This window comes from Homo sapiens, chromosome 15, assembly GCF_000001405.40.
Source record: "Homo sapiens chromosome 15, GRCh38.p14 Primary Assembly".
NCBI classification, from domain to species: Eukaryota; Metazoa; Chordata; class Mammalia; order Primates; family Hominidae; genus Homo; species Homo sapiens.
Window position 1 is genome coordinate 61574028 of NC_000015.10, and position 19854 is coordinate 61593881.

The 19854-nt window shown below is 39.3% G+C and overlaps 1 long non-coding RNA gene across 2 annotated transcripts in view; it reads right to left on the reverse strand.

The window, feature by feature from the left end:
* LOC107984782 (uncharacterized) overlaps window positions 1-19854 on the reverse strand; it is a 208325-nt gene that overhangs the window by 67166 nt on the left and 121305 nt on the right. For both annotated transcript variants that reach the window (XR_001751569.2, XR_001751570.2), the window contains exon 3: window positions 15889-15976. This is a non-coding gene — a long non-coding RNA (uncharacterized LOC107984782). The remainder of the gene's footprint in view (window positions 1-15888; window positions 15977-19854) is intronic.

Genomic DNA, 19854 nt, shown 5'->3' on the forward strand with positions numbered 1-19854 from the left:
GTACCTGTTTTGTGCCAGGAGCACTGATAGGTACCCTGAGGACTCGATCCCTGCCTTGAGATAGGGCAAAAAAGCAAAAATAAAACATATGAGAAATGAAATGACAATACGTGATTAAATTGTTCAAGAGAATAGTCAGAAGCCATCAGTACCCATATAGCCATTTGTATGGTGCAGATAATAATGTGCTGTAAGGCGATGGTATCAGGGAGCGGGGAAGAGGAGGAGATCCTTCAAGCTAAGAGTGTTAGGAAATGCTTTAAGGAGATCAAATTAACCCTTTATGGCAGAACATTTTCATTTTCTCCCATCCTAAGAGCATCTATTCTTCAGTCCTTGTGATATCCACAACACATCTATTGGCTAAAGCTCCTCGTTCTATGCGTAAAAGAGCTACACGAGCACATTAGGGCTAGTGTATCATTAATGCCTATTTTGTTAAGAAATACAAATCCAGGTGACAAAGCATTAGGCACAGCCTTGGAGAACAGATGGGAGAATGGAGAGAAGATTTCTGGGAAGGAAGAGAACAGTACATACAAAAGCACAGAACAATAATGGTAATGCATCATCTAGCAGGAAGTGGAACTGTTGGGAGGAATGGTTGGAGGTGAGACTGGAATGCTAAGTTAGAAGCCCTTGGAGGCTAGGCTAAGGAGTTGCAATTTCATCATATGGGCAACTGAGCGTTACTGAGGTTAGGGGCTCAGGGTGACCAGAGATAACTTTGCTGATGAACCTAGGGAGAGAAAAGGTAGGAGCGGTGAGTAATCATGCCAAATGCACTGATAGGTTGAGCAAGGCGAAGATTAAGAATCCACCACTGGTTCTAGTTATGTGACATTAAAAGGGGTGTGTTGGTGCAGTTTTGATGGTGTATACGGGGCAAAGACCTCACTGGGGTGGTTGAGGAGAGATAAAAGAAGAGGAATTTTCGATGCCAAGTACTTAAAACTCGTATAAGGAATTTTTTGACAAGGGGAACAATGAAACAGGGGAGGGGAAGTGAGGTCCAGAGAAGGTTTTCTTAAGATGAGAAAAAACAATAGCACATTTATAGGAATTGTCCAATAGAAGAGATTCGTGGAGCAGAATTCTTGCATAAGCAGCAGAAATAGGATGTAGCACAAGTAAAGAGGGATGACTGGGCTTTGGATAAGAGCACTGACAGTTCAGCTCTGTTAATAGGTGGGAAGAGCGAGTCTAGGAGTCACTGGAGGGTCTAAGTCAGGAATGCTAATGGTGCCTGTTTTTAAAGGGTAGGGGCAATGTTAAGGAACTTGGTTTCAGAACATTTTTGTTTAATACTTTTTCTTAGGTAGGAAGTGTACTGAAATTTTTTACTGTATCACTTTCTGAGAATGATTTTGCTTGAGTCCAGATCAGACTGAGCCTCTCTCAAATAATTGGAATTCCACAAGGGAAGTTCTGAGTGGCCCTTACTGTCCTGCCGAATAGCATTTAGCTTTATTTATTGATTTCTACTTTGATATCCAAAATAACATTATATATTCTGTTCTAACCTAATTATATTCTTTCTAAACAACTTAGAAATGGTCCCACTTAGGTCTCCAAAAGAACCTGTAGGCAGTGACCAGATGCCTAAACCTCCCCTTAATCTATATTTATCAACTACAGTCAACTTGACTCATTTAGTAACGGCTGTCTGCCACTTTATAATCATCATCATGGAACATCAGGTATTCATTCATTCCACAAATATTCATATAGTGCCTTACTATTCATATAGTAAAGGCCCTGGGACAGCCCCTTTACTAGGCCTGGAGGAACAGCATGGACAAGGTAAAGGTGCTGTCCTCAGACAGCACAGTTGAGTGAGGAGTGATTACAGTTAAGCAACTGATTCCCAGTGCTAGGTCTGAGGACATTCAGAGAACAATGAGAGCACCTCAGAAGGTTTGGCATGCACAAACTGGGGAATAATAAGCATTAAAATGGTAAATGCATAACCAGTTTACAAACTCACACGGCATACTTTAAGTTCCCCCTTGAAAAAGAATCCCAGTAATTCCATGGACTTGGAGAAATTCATTGCTACTCTTGATCACTTTGGCTGATGACTTCACTGGTAATTTATTTATTCATTTAACAAGGATTTACCAAGCACAGAGATATTTCGTGTCCAGCTGGTACCCTGGGAATACAACGATGAAGACAGTGAAATTCTTTTCCTCAAAAAGCTCATTTTTTCTATTCCGCAGGTCCACCTTCACACAAGCGGGAGTTTGGAGCTTCTATGCCTGCAGAGTTTCTATCTCCCATAGCTAGCTATGGGAGAGTAAAAAAAAAAAAAAGAATCGATGGAGAGATACGTCCTCCCCATGCCTTCATGGTTTATCAACATCCTCCTTGAAATGCAAATCAAAACCACAATGAGATACCATCTCACACCAGTCAGAATGGCTATTAAAAAGTCAACAAATAACTTATGTTGGTGAGGTTACAGAGAAAACAGAACATTTATAAACTTGATGGGAGTATAAATTAATTTAGCCATTGTGGAAGACAGTGTGACAATTCCTCAAAGAACTAAAAACGGATATACCATTCAACCTAGCAATCCTATTACTGGGTTTATACCCAAAGGCATATAAAATTATTCTGTTATAAAGACACATGTGTGTGTGTATATTCATTGCAGCACCATTCACAATAACAGAGACACAGAATCAACCTAAATTCCTGTCAATGTTAGACTGGATAAAGAAAATGTGGTACATATATACCATGGAATACTATGCAGCCATAAAAAGAACAAGATCATGTCCTTTGCAGGAACATGGATGGAGCTGGAGGCCATTATCCTTAGCAAACTAATTCAGGAACAGAAAACCAAATGCCACATGTTCTCACTTATAAGGGGGAGCGAAATGATGAGAACTCATGAACACAAAGAAGGGAACAACAGATGCTAAGGTCTATCAGAGAGTAGAAGTTGGGAGGAGAGAGAGGATCAGGAAAAATAACTAATGGGTACTAGGCTTTAATACTTGGGTAATGAAATAATCTGTACAACAAACCCCCATGACACAAGCGTACCTACGTAGCAAACCTGTACATGTACCCCTGAACTTAACGTAAAAGTTAAAGAAAATAAGACATAAGTAGAGATAAAATTAACGACAATAATCATAAAGTGAAAACTGAAAGCAAGAAAAATCCAAAATAAAATCATCCTCACCCTCCATGGCTCAAATCAAATGCCAACTCCTTCACAAAGCCTCTCCTAATAAAGCCAAAGTGACCTATATATTGTTTAAGCCAAGGCCCCTCATGTGGGAGTTTCTGTGGTCTTTAATGAATGAACTCTGAAATTATACATGTTCTAAACACTTATATGCCCTGCTAAGTTCCAGGTTGAGGTGAAGTACTGTTTCTGATCTACTTTTACATCTGACAAAGATTTGATTCAAGAATTTTTATATATTAGGTGGTCAATGAACATTTGATGAATAAATGAATTAAAACCACAACTTACACCAATGGCCTTCTCTTTCTTTTATTTCTTCCTTATTTCTATTAAACGTACGTATTTTCAAAATATTGTTTCTGTATACTACCTATGCATTTTCTATCGGTAGAAGTAATATATTCATTGAATACACAGGTTGATAAAATAGTGAAAGAAGAATTAAAAACATCTATAATCTCATCACCCAGAATATAGACACTGTTTGACGTCTTGGCATGTTTTCTTTCAGTCTATGTGTATTCAGGCTTGAAACTAAAGTTCTATCATGCTCTATATAAAGCTTTGTATCCGATCTCAGAGATGGTATTACAACCAGAATGTCAACACCAAAAAAATTTTAGGCTGAATTAATGCAAATTAGAAGAGGAGGCTGTCCTAGAAGATTCTTGGATTAAATCAGAGGATGTGGTTCCATCCATTAATCCCACAATCTACTGATATAATTGGCCTCTTGGGACCTCAGGTGTTTCCTCATCTGTAAAATGGAGGTGGGGAAAATCAATGACTGAGTTCTCATCTCTGATGTAATACAATTTAACTCCATTACATGTGAAGAAGTGGCATGCACTATTATTTGGTGTAGTTACACAGAAATCTCAAGGCTATTAATACAACAACCTCCTTTCCTAAATGATAAAATTGACACTCAAAGAGGAAAGTCCCTGTCAGACTTTAGCTCCAAAATAGTAATATCCAATTCCAAGTCTGTTCATTTTTCTCAGTGCTGGGATGTTTATCAGAACCAAGCTAAGGTGGGGCCATGTCTAGCTACGGGTGATAGGACAAAGCAGGAGAGAGGCTCATCAATGCCAAATCAGCTTCCAAGCCATCTGTGGTGATGTGTTTCTCAACACTAGGATGGATGTTGGTTTGAGAAAGCAAGTGAGGTACAGTCGTTTTCAAAAGGAGCTTACATTCTCATCGAGAAGACAGACTTATCCCACTACCACATGCTGTCCGTGGTGATTTACTAGGCAAGAGCCAATAAGCTTTGCAGGACAGGGCTGATACAAGCTGTCACGGCCAGGTGGAAAAGGTAAAGCCAACAATTAGTGGAAAAGCCGGGAGAGAGCAGGTGGGATGCCAAAACCTGGGAGCATAGCAGGAGCTCAAGGCTGGGGTATGACCAGGTGTAGGGAACTAGAACAGCCAACAGAAGACATCCAAGTCCCAGCCTGACAAATGCCAGAGACCGGCTTCTTTGCCAATCTGAGTTCCAAAACCGGGGAGCGAACAGCCAAGGTGTACTCCCTAGGGTTGAAACATTGCTTTGGGCCAAAGTGCTGGCACTCCTTTTGATGAGTCTGCTCTCCTGAGCCCCCGCACCTGCAACTATCTTCAAGAATGACCTCTAACTCGACATGACCCCCAATTCCAGGACCTGCGTTATAATATGATGGCACTGTAGAATTGGGCTGATTTAGACAGGATGGTTTTAGGTAAGAGACCCCACTTCTCAGCCTCACACCCAACTCTGGTGTATCCACCTCTTCAGGCCCACCTGACAGATTTTAACAAGGTCTGTGGGGAAAGGATAGGACAAAAATTCAAAATCTCATATTTTCTTTTATAAAAGAGTTCATAGGTTAATCTCTAAGTTTCTAAGTATATTTTCAAATATATCACCAGATGGGGTCAGGAAACCAGGTTTGTGGTCACTTCCCTTCTACGGAAGTCAGTTTCTTTCTATATAAAATAAACGAACTAGATTTTGTTAATTTTCATTTATTATTATTTTTTATTTTTCTCTTTGAGACAGGGTCTCACTCTGTCACCTAGGCTGGAGTGCAAGGCTCATTGAAGCCTTGAACTCCTGGGCTCAAGGGATCCTCTCAGCTCACCCTCCCAAGTGGCTGACACTACAGGCCTGTGTCGCTACATCTGGCTTTTTTTTTTTTTTTAATTATTTTTAGTAGACACAAGGTCTTGCTATGTTGTCCACGCTGGTCTCGAACTCCTGGCCTCAAGCAGTCTTTCCACTTTAGAATCCTAGGATTATAGGTGTGAGCCAACATGCCTCAATTTGTTTTTTCTTTTGTTTTGTTTTGTTTTTGTTTGTTTTTTTTTGAGACGGAGTCTCGCTCTTTTGCCCAGGCTGGAGTGCAGTGGCACTATCTCAGCTCACTGTAAGCTCGATCTCCCAGGTTCACACCATTCTCCTGCCTCAGCCTCCCAAGTAGCTGGGACTACAGGTGCCCGCCACCACACCTGGCTAATTTTTGTATTTTTTAGTAGAGATGGGGTTTCACTGTGTTAGCCAGGATGGTCTGGATTTCCTGACCTCGTGATCCGCCTGCCTCAGCCTCCCAAAGTGCTGGGATTACAGGCGTGAGCCACCGCACCCGGCCTCAAATTTCATTTTTTAAAATAAATGTTCATTTGACATAATTTTAGATAAGAAAAGTTACAAAGATAATGCAAAGGATTCCTGTATAATGTTTACGCTGTTCCCCCTAACGTTAACATATAACCATGATACATTTGTCAAAACTATCATCAGACGTTATCAACTAAAACAAACTTTATTCATATTCCACCAAATTTCATTTTGACCCCAATACCATTGTTTAAAACATGAAGATCTTTAATTTATTTTGCTGTTTATTTTTTGATATAACTTTTAAGGGCCTATTTTGGGGTAGAGGAGATCTAGTGGTAATTAATTCATACTTTAGGAAGATGCTCAGGAAAAAATTCTGAAATGGCAAAGAGATGTCAGTCAGAGCTTCTGGTTTAGAGACTGAGGGACAAAGGCCTTCACTTGTAGGGACTAGGGCTGGTTATTGTAGGTAAAAGATGAGGCCGGGCACAGTGGCTCAAGTCTGTAATCCCAGCATTTTGGTAGGCCGAGGCGGGTGGATCACGAGGTCAGGAGATCGAGACCATCCTGGCTAACACGGTGAAACCCCGTCTCTACTAAAAAATACAAAAAAAAAAAGTTAGCCAGGAGTGGTGACGCACATCTGTAGTCCCAGCTCCTCGGGAGGCTGAGGCAGGAGAATTGCTTGAATCCGGGAGGCAAAGGTTGCAGTGAGCCAAGATCACACCACGCACTCCAGCCTGAATGACAGATCGAGACTTCGTCAAAAAAAAAAAAAAAAAAAAAAAAAAAAAAGGAATACATGGAATGGTTTTACATTTTACTCAGATGATTCTAATCTATGCCCACCCACCAAAATGTCTGAGTCTTAAAATATAGCATGGAACCCTTGCTCCTCACGTGCTGAAACACATTATGCATGTACTTGGTAATTCATTCTTTTCAACTTAGTTGTTTTTGCTTTGTATTTTCATTCTTAACAAGGATCTAGTCTGGATTAAGATGGTAAAATGTATGCAAGGAGCCTTTCATTTAAATATGCTCACTGGAGCCTTGCAATAATCACCATAAGATAATCAACCTTATGTTTTTAATCAATTTTGTATTTTCCTTCTTTCTAATTTTCTCATTCATTTAATTTCTTGGGAAATTAAGTATTGGGAATTCTGAAAGTGATTCTCTTCAAGTGATGCTATTTCTAGGGCAACTTAGTTAATATATAAAGATTAACACAATAATTTATTGAAGAATTAGGAAGACTTCTGATAAACACAAAGGCAAAGTAAAAATGTGAGGCATTGTACTGACATTTTATAAATGTTAGCTCTTTTGTTACTCCCAGGTTCCATTATTATTCCCATTCGACAGATGAGGAAACTGAGAATTAGTTTTCTAATTCTCCTAACTCTGACAAGAATAACTTGCCCAAATCACACAGCCATGGCAAACAGAATCAGGAATCTACTTTCCTCAACCTCCACATTGTACAGGGCCCTGTTCTCCCAAAGTTTGCCTACTAGTTATAGAGCCAAGGTTAACCCATACAAGACAATTAGAAAGTCAATAGTGTTGCCATTAAAAAGAATTAAGTGTGACTGTACTCTGGGAACTGTACACAAATTACATGAGTAACATTTTTATTATTGTTAACTGGTGACACCAAAGGCAAGAACTATCATCATTTGTCCCCCTAGTTTTAAACTGGCATATAATTAGTTAATGTTCCCATCTCTTCCTACTCTTTCGGTGGGAATACTAACTCCATATACCAATTATATAAAGAAAGATGAAGGAGATACAGGCAACAGGAAGGGAGGGAGAACCATTTTGCATTTTTCAGAATCTGAATAACAGACAACTTCTAACATTTCAAGACTAGCCTAAAGGCAGAAAGTGCTTCTGGAAAAAAAAAAAAAAAAACTTTCCCAAAGTTTTGTTTTCAAAGAGGTTATAGTTTCTGAAGACAAATCCCACTATCCTTTTTCAATTCATCCTTTATTTCCTTGATAATTTTTTTAAAATAAATACATCTGGACAGTTTACAAAGTCCTCAGAGGCTGAAAAACTAGCTATAACAAGTACTATATTTGACACATTTTTCTTCAGGCTAAGTTAATTCATTTAAGGTTTTAATGTTTAAATAAACTGCTGCCCAATCAATAATCTACAAAATCATTCACTCAGGGAGAGGTCTTCAATCATTTTGCCCCACTTAAGGCTGATTTGTATGACAAATGAACACATTTTATTATATTCCTCAGTCTGTTCCATGCACTCCTAAAACAGTGGTGTGTAAATTTTCAAAGAAACTAAGGCACCCCTCTTAATATTGTGTCACAGCAGTACTTAGTACAACCAAAACACTAAATATGGTCTGAGAATGTGACAAGGAGCACACATCAGAGAAGCATCCTTCGTTTCCTGTTCACCACAGGAAAAGCAGCAGGGTGACCAGGCAGGAAGACATTGAGCTTGCTGCACTGACACAGTGGAAACTCCAGCCACTGACACAGTTGAAACTCCAGTTTTGCTAATTGCTTAATGTGAGACTTCAGGCAAGTAGCTTAATCTCTCTGTACCCATCTCTTTATCTATAAAAAAGATAATAATAGAACAGCTACTTCATAAGGTTGTTGTACAGTTCATATACAAATGTTAGCCATTATTATTTATCATAGAGTTGCAGAAAAAAGTGTAAATCAAGTGTATCCTTAAAAATTATATCTAGGCTCAATAATATCTCAGCTAAATGCTATGCGAGTTGCCTCAGGGTAAACTGCACAGCCCCCTCCTGAAACAGCTCTGCAAACCACCTTCTTGCTTTCTTGTAGAGCAGAGGGTCATTACCATTGTAGGTCACGGCCATCTGCAAATTCAAAATTATACTCTGTAATGAAATCAAATTTTGTATCTTTCTGGTTATGAACAATTATTATAAAACCATCCATGATCCCATGACATATTATAGTGGGGAAGAGATAGTTCATTAAAAACATTTACAGGCAAAAAATCAAACCATCCCTTTAAAACTTGGGCAAAAGACATGAACAGACACTTTCCAAAAGATGACATATACATTGCCAAAAGCCTATGAAAAAATACTCAACATCACTAATTATTAGAGAAATCCAAATCAAAACCACAATGAAATGCCATCTCACACCAGTCAGAATTGCTATTTTTAAAAAGTCAAAAAAATAACAGACACTGGCAAGGTTGTGGAGAAAAAGGGAACATTTATATACTAATGGGAGTGTAAATTAGCTTAGCCTTTGTGGAAGACAGTGTGGCAATTCCTCAAAGAACTTAAAACAGAAATACCATTCATCCCAGCATTCCTATTATTGGGTATATATCCAAAGGAATATAAATCATTCTTATTGTAAAGACACACGCATGTGTGTGTTTACCACAGCACTATACACAATAGCAAAAACATGGAGTCATCCTAAATGCCCATCAATGTTAGACTGGATAAAGAAAATGTGGTACATATACACCATGGAATACTATGCAGTCATAAGAAAGAATGACTTTATGTCCTTCGCAGCAACATAGATGCAGCCAGAGGCCATTATTCTAAGCAAACTAACACAGGAACAGAAAACCAAATACAACATGTTCTCACATGTAAGTTGGAGCTAAAAAACAAGAACATGTGGACTCTAGGAGGAAAACAACAGACACTGAAGCCCACTTGAGGGTGGAGGGAAGAAGGGAAAGGATCAGAAAAACTACCTATTGGGTACTATGATTATCTGTGTGATGAAATTATTTGTACACTGTACCCTCATGACACACAGTTTACCTATCTAACAAACCGGCACATGTACCCATGGACCTAAAATAAAAGGTTTTTTTTTTAAATAAACAGATAAACATATAAAGATGTCTTAGGATGAAAGGAGTCCTGTTTTACACAGAAATCACTTACAGCCTCTCCAACAAAGTGGCTTTAGAGCAGAGGCCAGAAATTAGTAAGGGAAGAATCTTAGCAGAGGCAAAAACAAGTTCAAAAGCCTTAAGAGAGGGACGTGTCTGCTAAGTCTGAGGAATGACAGGGAGTCTAAAATAGCAAGGAATCTAGTCTAGGACCTTGGGCAAGAGGGAGAGTGGGGGAAATGGGGTCAGAGAGAGGTGAGACCTGGCCTTATAGGGGCTTGTAGGCTACACTGAAGGCTTTGTATTTTACACTGGGTTTGAGCAGGGAGTTGACTGATCTTTTAGAAAGTCATTAACTACTGGTGGAGAAAAGATCACTGGGGCTCACTGGCAAAAATCAACAGAGGGAATGTGGAGAAAGTGGCCACATCAAGTCACCTATGACTTATCTGTGACTATACAGTCATACCATAATGGTGACTTAGGTTGTGGTGGCAATGATGGAAGTGGAGAGAACTGTTAGATTCAGAATATATTTCAAAGAGAGTCAAAGGATGTTGTGACAGACTAGATATGTGTGTGTGTGTGTGTGTGTGTGTTTGTGTGTTAAAGGACTGTGAGATAAATAGAGCAGGCAGTTTTTGCTCAAAGCTTTTGTAACATTCAATGAGATAGGGCTGCTACATGCAGAGTTTCTCAGCCATCTTTCATCACCAAGACTAGTTAGTGTGCTATCTTTGTGCCATTTTTTTTCTCAAAGGAATAATAGTATCAAGTAATCACTTCACAAGAGCTTCTAGTTTGTATACAGAATATTGAAACCGTGTTGAGAGCTTGGCTGTATTCATTTACTAAGGGATCGGTGATTGAACATAGCATTCATGTCTGCTAAGTGTTGGGTACTGTCCTAGGTGCTGAAGAGGCAGTTATTAAATATGACCTCTCTGCACAGGTAATTCAAAACTGAATCTTAGCAAAATTTACAATTACTCCATGCCAGGGCCGCCTTTGGTGTTGGCTGAGAGTAGTTAAAAACGCAAAAATTAAGTGTAGAGTTGCAAATAATCCACCTATATATGGTTCCCCGAGGACCCCTGTAATTTCACTGTTCTGTGACTTTGCACATTCTGGCACTGCCTCCCTATCTGTATAGAAAATCCTGGTCAGTTTTAAACTCAACCGGCTCAACTCAATCAACTCCTAGGAAACCTGTCCTGAATTTCCTTGTCCACAGCAGGATTGAGTCACACTTTGTGACCTGTTCCGTTTTAGCACTTATCACTCTCTATTGCAATTATTAGTTTGCATATCTGTATTCGCTGATAGAGTGTAAACATCATCAGAACAAACACGTCTTAGTTTTTGTGTTTGGAGTGCCTAGAACAGGATCTTATATGTAATAACACTCAATAAATAGATGTTTTAAAAATAAATGAACCAACGAATCGGGATGCCCCCCCCTTTAATTCCATGATTGATTCCTAGAAGCCAGATACTATAATTTATACCTCTAAAACACTTATGTCATCTAGAACAGAGCAACTATTTTATATTTACTACTTAAACTTCCACCCAAGTAGCATCTCACATACTTCCATCTGTTCAGAATTAAAAATATGATCGAAGATGAGATCTGGCATGTTCACGGTGGTATGGCCATAGACATAAGTCATAGTAACAAAAACAGCGTGGTACTGGTACCAAAACAGATACATAGACCAATGGAACAGAACAGAGGCCTCAGAAATAACACCACAAATCTACAACCATCTGATCTTTGACAAAGCCTGACAAAAACAAGAAATGGGGGAAGGATTCCTTACTTAATAAATGGTGTTGGGAAAACTGGCTAGCCATATGCAGAAAGCTGAAACTGGATCCCTTCCTTACACCTTATACAAAAATTAACTCAAGATGGATTAAAGACTTAAATGTTAGACCTAAAACCATAAAACCCCTAGAAGAAAACCTAGGCAATACCATTCAGGACATAGGCATGGGCAAAGACTTCATGACTAAAACATCAAAAGCAATGGCAACAAAAGCCAAAATAGACAAATCAGATCTAATTAAACTAAGGAGCTTCTGCACAGCAAAAGAAACTATCATCAGAGTGAATAGGCAACATACAGAATGGGAGAAAAATTTTGCAATCTATCCATCTGACAAAGGGCTAATATCCAGAATCTACAAAAAACTTAAATTTACAAGAAAAAAACAATCCTATCAAAAAGTGGGCGAAGGACATGAACAGACACTTCTCAAAAGAAGACATTTATGCAGCCAACAGACACATGAAAAAATGCTCATCATCACTGGTCATTAGACAAATGCAAATCAAAACCACAATGAGATACCATCTCACGCCAGTTAAAATGGCAATCATTAAAAGCTCAGGAAACAATAGATGCTGGAGAGGATGTGGAGAAATAGGAATGCTTTTACACTGTTCGTGGGAGTGTAAATTAGTTCAACCATTGTGGAACACAGTGTGGCGATTCCTCAAGGATCTAGAGCCAGAAATACCATTTGACCCAGCAATCCCATTACTGGGTATATACTCAAAGGATTATAAATCATTTTACTATAAAGACACTAGCACACATATGTTTACTGTAGCACTATTTACAATAGCAAAGACTTGGAGCCAACCCAAATGCCCATCAATGGTAGACTGGATAAATAAAATGTGGCACTTATACACCATGGAATACTATGCAGCCATAAAAAAGGATGAGTTCATGTCCTTTGCAGGGACAGGGATGAAGCTGGAAACCATCATTCTCAGCAAACTAACACAGGAACAGAAAACCAAATATCATATGTTCTCAATCATACATGGGAGGTAAACAATGAGAACGCATGGACACAGAGAGGGGAACATCACACACCAGTCTGTTGGAGGTGGGGGGCTAGGGGAGGGACAGCATTAGAAGAAATACCTAATGTAGATGACAGGTTGATGGGTGCAGCAAACCACCATGGCACATGTATACTTATGTAATGAACCTGCATGTTCTGCACGTGTACCCCAGAACTTAAAGTGTAATTAAAGAAAATTCTTTTAAACAATAAAAATTGTACAAACTTAAAAACCAAAAAAAAAGTAAAATGAAAAGTAAAAATATGACCTTGAGAAGGAGATTTTTGAGTATTCATTATTCCTTGAATAGGACTCAAGCGCTGGTATTTTCTAAATTGAAGAATCTGAGAAGAAACTTATTTTTCTCTAATCATAAAAATCTTTTTTGCAGCAGTGAAAAAAAAAAATGGAGTCAACCCGTGAAATTCAGGCATCACATAAAGCTAGTTATGCCTGGAGAAGAGTAGTTCTGTGTTATTAAATAAGAATAGAAGAGAATTTTTTGAAAGAAAATTAAAAAGTAGGTTTCAGATATTATGCTTTATTTTTTGAGTCTGGATATTTGTGTGATATTAACATTAAACATCTTTTAAAATGTGATACTGAACATTGAACACATACACACACACACACACACACACACACACACACACACACACACACACGGGATTCCTGAAAAGGTGCCAATTTGAGGACATGTGTCTGACTCACTTCCATTATCATCTTTGAAATGACAAATATAATATGAAAATGAGGAAAATCCTGTATAAAATTACACACTGAGAAAAGAGGACATCAAAAACTCTGCAGACTTTTTGGTTGATAGCACTCGGGTGGGTGGCACGTAAGGAAGGCTGTTTCTCGGGTAAATTTTAAGTAAATTTCATTGCAGTATAACCATGCCCATTTGTTTGTTTATAGATTCTTTCTCTCTAAAACATCAGACGTGAGTAGTTTTGACAGAGATATCTTCTGAAAGACTTAAAATACTTACTATCTTGGTCTTTATTTAAAATGTTTGGAGACCACTGATCTATTCCTAAACTTCTCCATCTGGGAAGGAACAGCTCACCTAGGAAATAAGATGAAGACATCCACTAGGGAAGGATGAGGGCTGGAGGTGAGGGCAGGCCGAAGGACAGGTAGGAATGTGACTCCCACCATTGCCCTTGCAAGCATAAAAACACCCAGTGGCTATCCCAAGGAGGTAAATCACAGCTGTGTGACCCTGATCCATCTTTCATGCTGTGGGCCTCACTAGGCAAAGAGACGGAGTAGTAGCTAGGTCATACATGTTTGCCATAAATAATCATTAATTTTTCAGCCTAGAGGCACAACGCCCTGATACAGACTCTGAATTTGGCATCCTCCCTACACCCCCAGGCTACTGCAAATCCACATTGGCAAAGGAAAAAAAAAGAGAAAAATAAACTTCTTTTGGCTAGAATATTTGAAATAGAACATGCACAGAATCTGAGAAGACTCATGTTGGACTCCAATGCTAGAAAAGCATAAAACTCCTTTGGAAAAGGCAAGCAGGGGGAGAAAAATCAGCAGAAACAGACATTTCTGCAGCTTACAAAATGAGAAACACTGAGAAATCAGAGCCAGTACCTTCCTATGAAAATTACTTAAAGAAAAAAATCCAGCAACTTTCTAACTATGTTCTCAATGTATTTCAACAGGTAATTGTGTTTATAAAACTAGAACAGGTAGTCATAAAGAGAGAAGGAAAAACTGCATTAAAGTGGAAATATCATTGCTAAATTAGAAACTGCAATCAAGGCAGTAAATGGTGTTATCACAGAAGGAAACCCCGGCATCCCAAAAGACAAAGACCCTGCTGACTTGCAGAAGGTTTAAGATGTTAGAAACCTCAAGGTATATGGAAACAGTGATGGGGGCCGACACATTCCATTTGACACTTGATACTCTATTTTTTTTTTTCATACCTTGCCTTATGAAGTACTTGCCAAACAGCACTCCAGAAGACCCAGAGTGATCTGAGTTCTTCCGACGTTTAGTATCAATACCTCTAATTATATTAACGCATATAAAATATGTAATAAGTGCCACATTTTAATGAATCCAATATATCATGGGTGGGAAGGTATATTAGCCCATTTTCACACTGCTGTGAAGAACTACCTGAGACTTTATAAAGAAAAGAGGTTTAATTGAGAACACATGGACACAGAGAGGGGCACGACACACACCAGGGCCTGTTGGGGGTTGGGGGTGAGGGGAGGGAACTTAGAGGACAGGTCAATAGGTGCAGCAAACCACCATGGCACACATGTACCTATGTAACAAACCTGCACGTTCTGCACATGCATCCCATTTTTTCAGAAGAAATAAAAAGAAAAGAGTTTTAACTTATAAAGAAAAGAAGTGTGATTGACTCACAGTTCTGCAGGCTTCACAGGAATCATGGCTGGAAGGCCTCAGGAAACTTACAATCATGGCGGAAGGGGAAGGAAGCACGTCTTACCACGGTGGAGCAGGAGAGAGTGAGCAAGGGGGGAAGTGCCACACACTTTCAAACAACCAGATCTCATGAGAACGAACTCACCATCAGGAGAACAGCAAGGGGGAACTCTGCCCCCAGGGCTCAATCACTGCCCACCAGGCCCCTCCCCGACACGTGGGAATTACAACTCAAGATAAGATATGGGTGGGGACACAGAGCTAAGCCATATAAGAAGCGAAGTGCATTATTAAAGGGACTCTGATTCTGGCCCAACTATATCCTAGTCGAGTGGTTCCTAAAGTAGGGTCTCCAGATTAGCAACAGCAGCACCTGTGAAGCTGTTAGAAATGCAAATTACAGAGCCTTACCTCAGACCCTCTAAGTCAGAAACTCCGAAGAGGGGGGAACCCACATTTTGTTTGAAGAAGCTCTCCAGGTGATTCTGATGTACACTAAAGTTGGAAGACCACTGGAATCATCATCTCACACACACACACACACACACACACACACACACACACATGCACACAATAGATTAAGGCCGTGGTTCTTAATCTTGGCTGCATATTAACATGGCCTGGGAAGCATTAAGTATCTTTTATGCATTCTGGACCCCAGAATAATAATTAAATCTGAATTGCTGCGAGTGAAATTCAGGTGATTCCAATGTGTAACCAAGTTTAAGAACTACTGTTTCATAAGACAAAAGGAAATCCAGAGTCTAAGTAATGGCTCCATGGTAAGAAATGGAAAAACTGAAGAACGTATTAATAGAAATGAGAAACAAATCCAAACAATAAACTGTCGTAAATTAGGACTTGGACTGCTGAAGAAATACAAAGAGATAGCTATACGCTTACCTTACCCAGGGAGCAAATGGAGAGGAAATTGGGCTGAGACAGGCTTTAAACGTCTGAACCGTATGTTGTGGTGCCCAGTGGAGCACACCTGAAAACGATGAAGAGAAGACGAAATGAACAACAGATCCAGGGCAGGTAATACATCTGTGGTTTCCAAATTTTCCTGCATATTGGAATCAGCTGAGGAGCCTTAAACACTCCCAAAGCCTGTGCTCGTCTGATTTAATTAGACTGGGTGTGACCCTGGCTTATGAAGGTTTAAAAGATTCCCCAGGTGAATCTAACGTGTAAACAAGCTTGGGAACCTCTACAATATACGTAGAATAACCATTTCAGAAGAATTCCAAGCAAACAGGAGAGGAGCAAAACTAAAAAAAAAATAGAAGAAAATGTTCCTGAGATGAAGGAAAATTTGTGCCTCAATGTAAAAAGAACTCACTGGTGTTTAGATAGACCCAGTTAAAACAGATCAACTTTCAGACCCAGCCCTGTACATTGCTGAATTTTAAGGACAAAGAAAATATCACAGAAGAATACAGGAAGGAAAAGAAAATCAGGTTAATACACAAACACACAAAGATAAAGGAGCGATGTCTAGACAGTGCTGACCATAAATAGTAATAAACAGTAACCTGAGCACAATCACCAAATTCTCACTCATGTGCAAAGACAAGCAATGATACTAACTTCAGGTACTATCAGAATAAGAAGAGAATTAACAAGGGAAAATGAAAAATGAGAAGTTAAGAGTGGAGACGCTTTGTACTTTTGTTACTGGCATATTTCACTTAGCACACTGTCATCAAGGTTCATACACATTGTAGCATGTAACAGAATTTCCTTCCTATTTAAGGCTAAAGAAAATTTCAGTGGCGTATTTTATATATACCACTTATATGAGGTACCTAGAGTAGTCAAATTCATAGTAACAAAAAGTTGAATGGTGGCCGCCAGGGGCTGGGGCTGGGGCAGGGGAAATGGGGAGCTAGCGTTTCATGGGTAGAGAGGTTCCAGTTTTACAAGATGAATGCGATAGGGATGGTGGTGCTGGTTGCACGATAATGTGAATGTACCTAATGCCTCTGAAGTGTACATTTGAAAAAGGTTAAGATGGTGAACTTTATGTTATATGTATTTTACCAGGATTTTAAAAATAATTTATTAAAAAAATAGGTGAACTTTGATGCAAAAGATTCGGTGGTGAGTGATGCAACCACTAAACCAATGGGTTCTCAAATGTGGCTGCACACTGGAAGCTTGTAAGAGTACCATGGCCCTGTTACTACTCCCAGATATACTGATTTAATTGGTTAGAGTAGGCCCCCAAAAGTATTTTTAAGCAGTTCCCCAGGTGATTCTAATGTGTAGCTATGGTTGAGAATTGCTGTACTAAAACACAGTTAATTAAATAATGATTACTAATAACAGTTATTGAAAAAATATGTCAAATGAAAATAATAACCCACCTGTAAACTTCCGTATTATATTTACTCTGTCCTTCCATGAAAAATAAGTCAGTGTATTATTGCACAGCCTGAACAGCTCTGCCTAGGGAGATTCTCAGAGCCCCAACATCCTCTGAGCAACAACCCGGGCGTGTGCATGCACACATCCCTCAGAAGTTAGGGTTGACCCCCAGGTGAGGTTCAGAGTCCATCTGAATTAGAGATGCGGGGAAGCAGGGAAGTGCTGGGACTCAGGGGAGAGACTGGGAATCTCCTGATGCCATCTGTGCTTTCATTTGAATTAGCCTCAATGTGTGATGGGAATAGTGCCCTTATATGTGCCAACCTTGTATAATGTCTCGACTCCACTACAGCATGCCTGAGAGGGGTAGGGGCAAAAGTCGATAAATAATAGATATTTCATCAGAGGGGCTCACTGATTTAATTAAGATATGTAAGAGAGAACAAGAAGAGTGATAACATATACATGCAATTCCTTTTCTTTCTGTTTTCAATTTTGAAAATAGGGGAAAAAATATCTGTGGTGGTCAATTTACCTAGCACATGTAACCAGGCAAAAGTGTAAACCAGGGTTTCTCAACCGTGGCACTACTGGAACATTGTGCCAGACAATTCCTTATTGTAGGGAGCTATCCTGAGTATTGCAGGGTGTTTAGCAGTATCCCTGCCCTCTACCCACGCGATGCAGCAGCACTTCCTCTCCTCAGTTGTGGCGACCAAAAACGTCTCAAGACATTGCCAAATGTCCCCTGTGGGGTGGAGGGCAAAATGGCCCCTAGTGGAGAACCACTGGGGTAAACTAAATGTAAGTGTTTTCAAAGAAAAATCAGAGATTAATTTTCATCCGCTTAAGTTTGTATAAAATACGATGTATTTTTACATTTCATTCTTGACATTTTTAATTAGAGACAGAAATTAGTTCAAATACATTCTGGAACAATGTAAAGGTAAGTACTAATCGAAAGAAAACAGACTTTACATCATCACAACCACTTAAATTAAAAAAGGAGAAAAAAACCCAAAGTCCATCTGTCAAATGACATAAAGCATAAAAAGCAGAAAGTTAAAACAAGGTGACAGAAGACAAGCATAGCTAGAGAAAATAAATGTGGATGGAATAAACTTCTGCTAGAAGATGAATAACTGCAAATTAGGATAAACTCACAAATTCTGCTGTTCATAAAAAAGGTACAATTAAAGGGCAATAGAAAACATACTTGGCAAAAGCAGACCAATAGGAAAGAGGAGCAGTGCTATTCTCAAAGTTGAAGTTAAAGCTTACAGCTTGACAGAGCCAAAAGTTTACTCTATAGTTCTATAATTAATAAAGTTAAAATAGGCTTGAACTCAGAAGACAGTAGAATAATAAGCTATTGTTATTTTCTTCTTTATACATTGATGTAATTTCTAATTTAAGTTCCTTGAAGGCAGCAGCTGTATTTTATTTATCAATGTATTCCCAATGCCACTGTGCCTGCCAAGGAAATCACCCTCATTTATAAATGTTGGATAAGTGAATGTGTTTACATGATCTATGGACCCTAGTAGAGTTAAATGATTCATTGCCAGGGTCTCCATTTCCTCCTCTATACAATGAGGAGTCTTTGCTCTCCCATCTCTATAATGATATTTTTATCCCCTACCCCTTTTTTTAAACACCAGTTGCCAACATTATGCCTCAAAATTAGCATTAAGCTTATAGGACATGCGGACAGTAAGGATCTCCCACATTAAGCAGTTTATATTGAGAAACTAGTTATTAATTCAAAATGCTATAAGACCCATATTCAACAGAACGATAAGGTAACGTTGCTATGAGAACAGTCATGTCAGATGGGATTACATTTTGACAGCTCTTTTCAGCCTCATATCTTTCACAGAGAATATTGCCTTGAAATGGTAGTCAAAGCTATAAGCTCTTTGAGATTAGTGACACTGTGTTTTCCATTTTGGTATCCCCTTGCCTGGCTCATAGTAGGTGCTCAGTAAATGGGCATTGATGGTGAATTAAATAAAGACCCATCTTGTTAGTTCTTGGATGGGGCCCTTAAAATGTCATTCCTTTCTTCTACATTTCTCAACAGCTTTGAAGAGGGTGTTTAAAAAATATAACCTGCTGGGTGTGGTGGCTCACACCTGTAATCCCAGCACTTTGGGAGGCCGAGGCGGGCAGATCACGAGGTCAGGAGTTCAAGACCAGCCTGATCAACATGGTGAAGCCCCCGTCTCTCCTAAAAATACAAAAATTAGCGAGGCATGGTGGCATGCACCGGTAATCCCAGCTATTCAGGAGGTTGAGGCAAGAGAATCGCTTGAACCCGGGAGGCAGAGGTTGCAGTGAGCCGAGATCGCGCCACTGTACTCCAGCCTGGGTGACAGAGCAAGACTCTGTCTCAGAGAAAAACAAACAAACAAACAATAAAACCATATAACCTAGACGTGGGAAAACAAGACTGTGAGTATATGCAATAGTTATAATGGTGCCACCCAACTTATCACC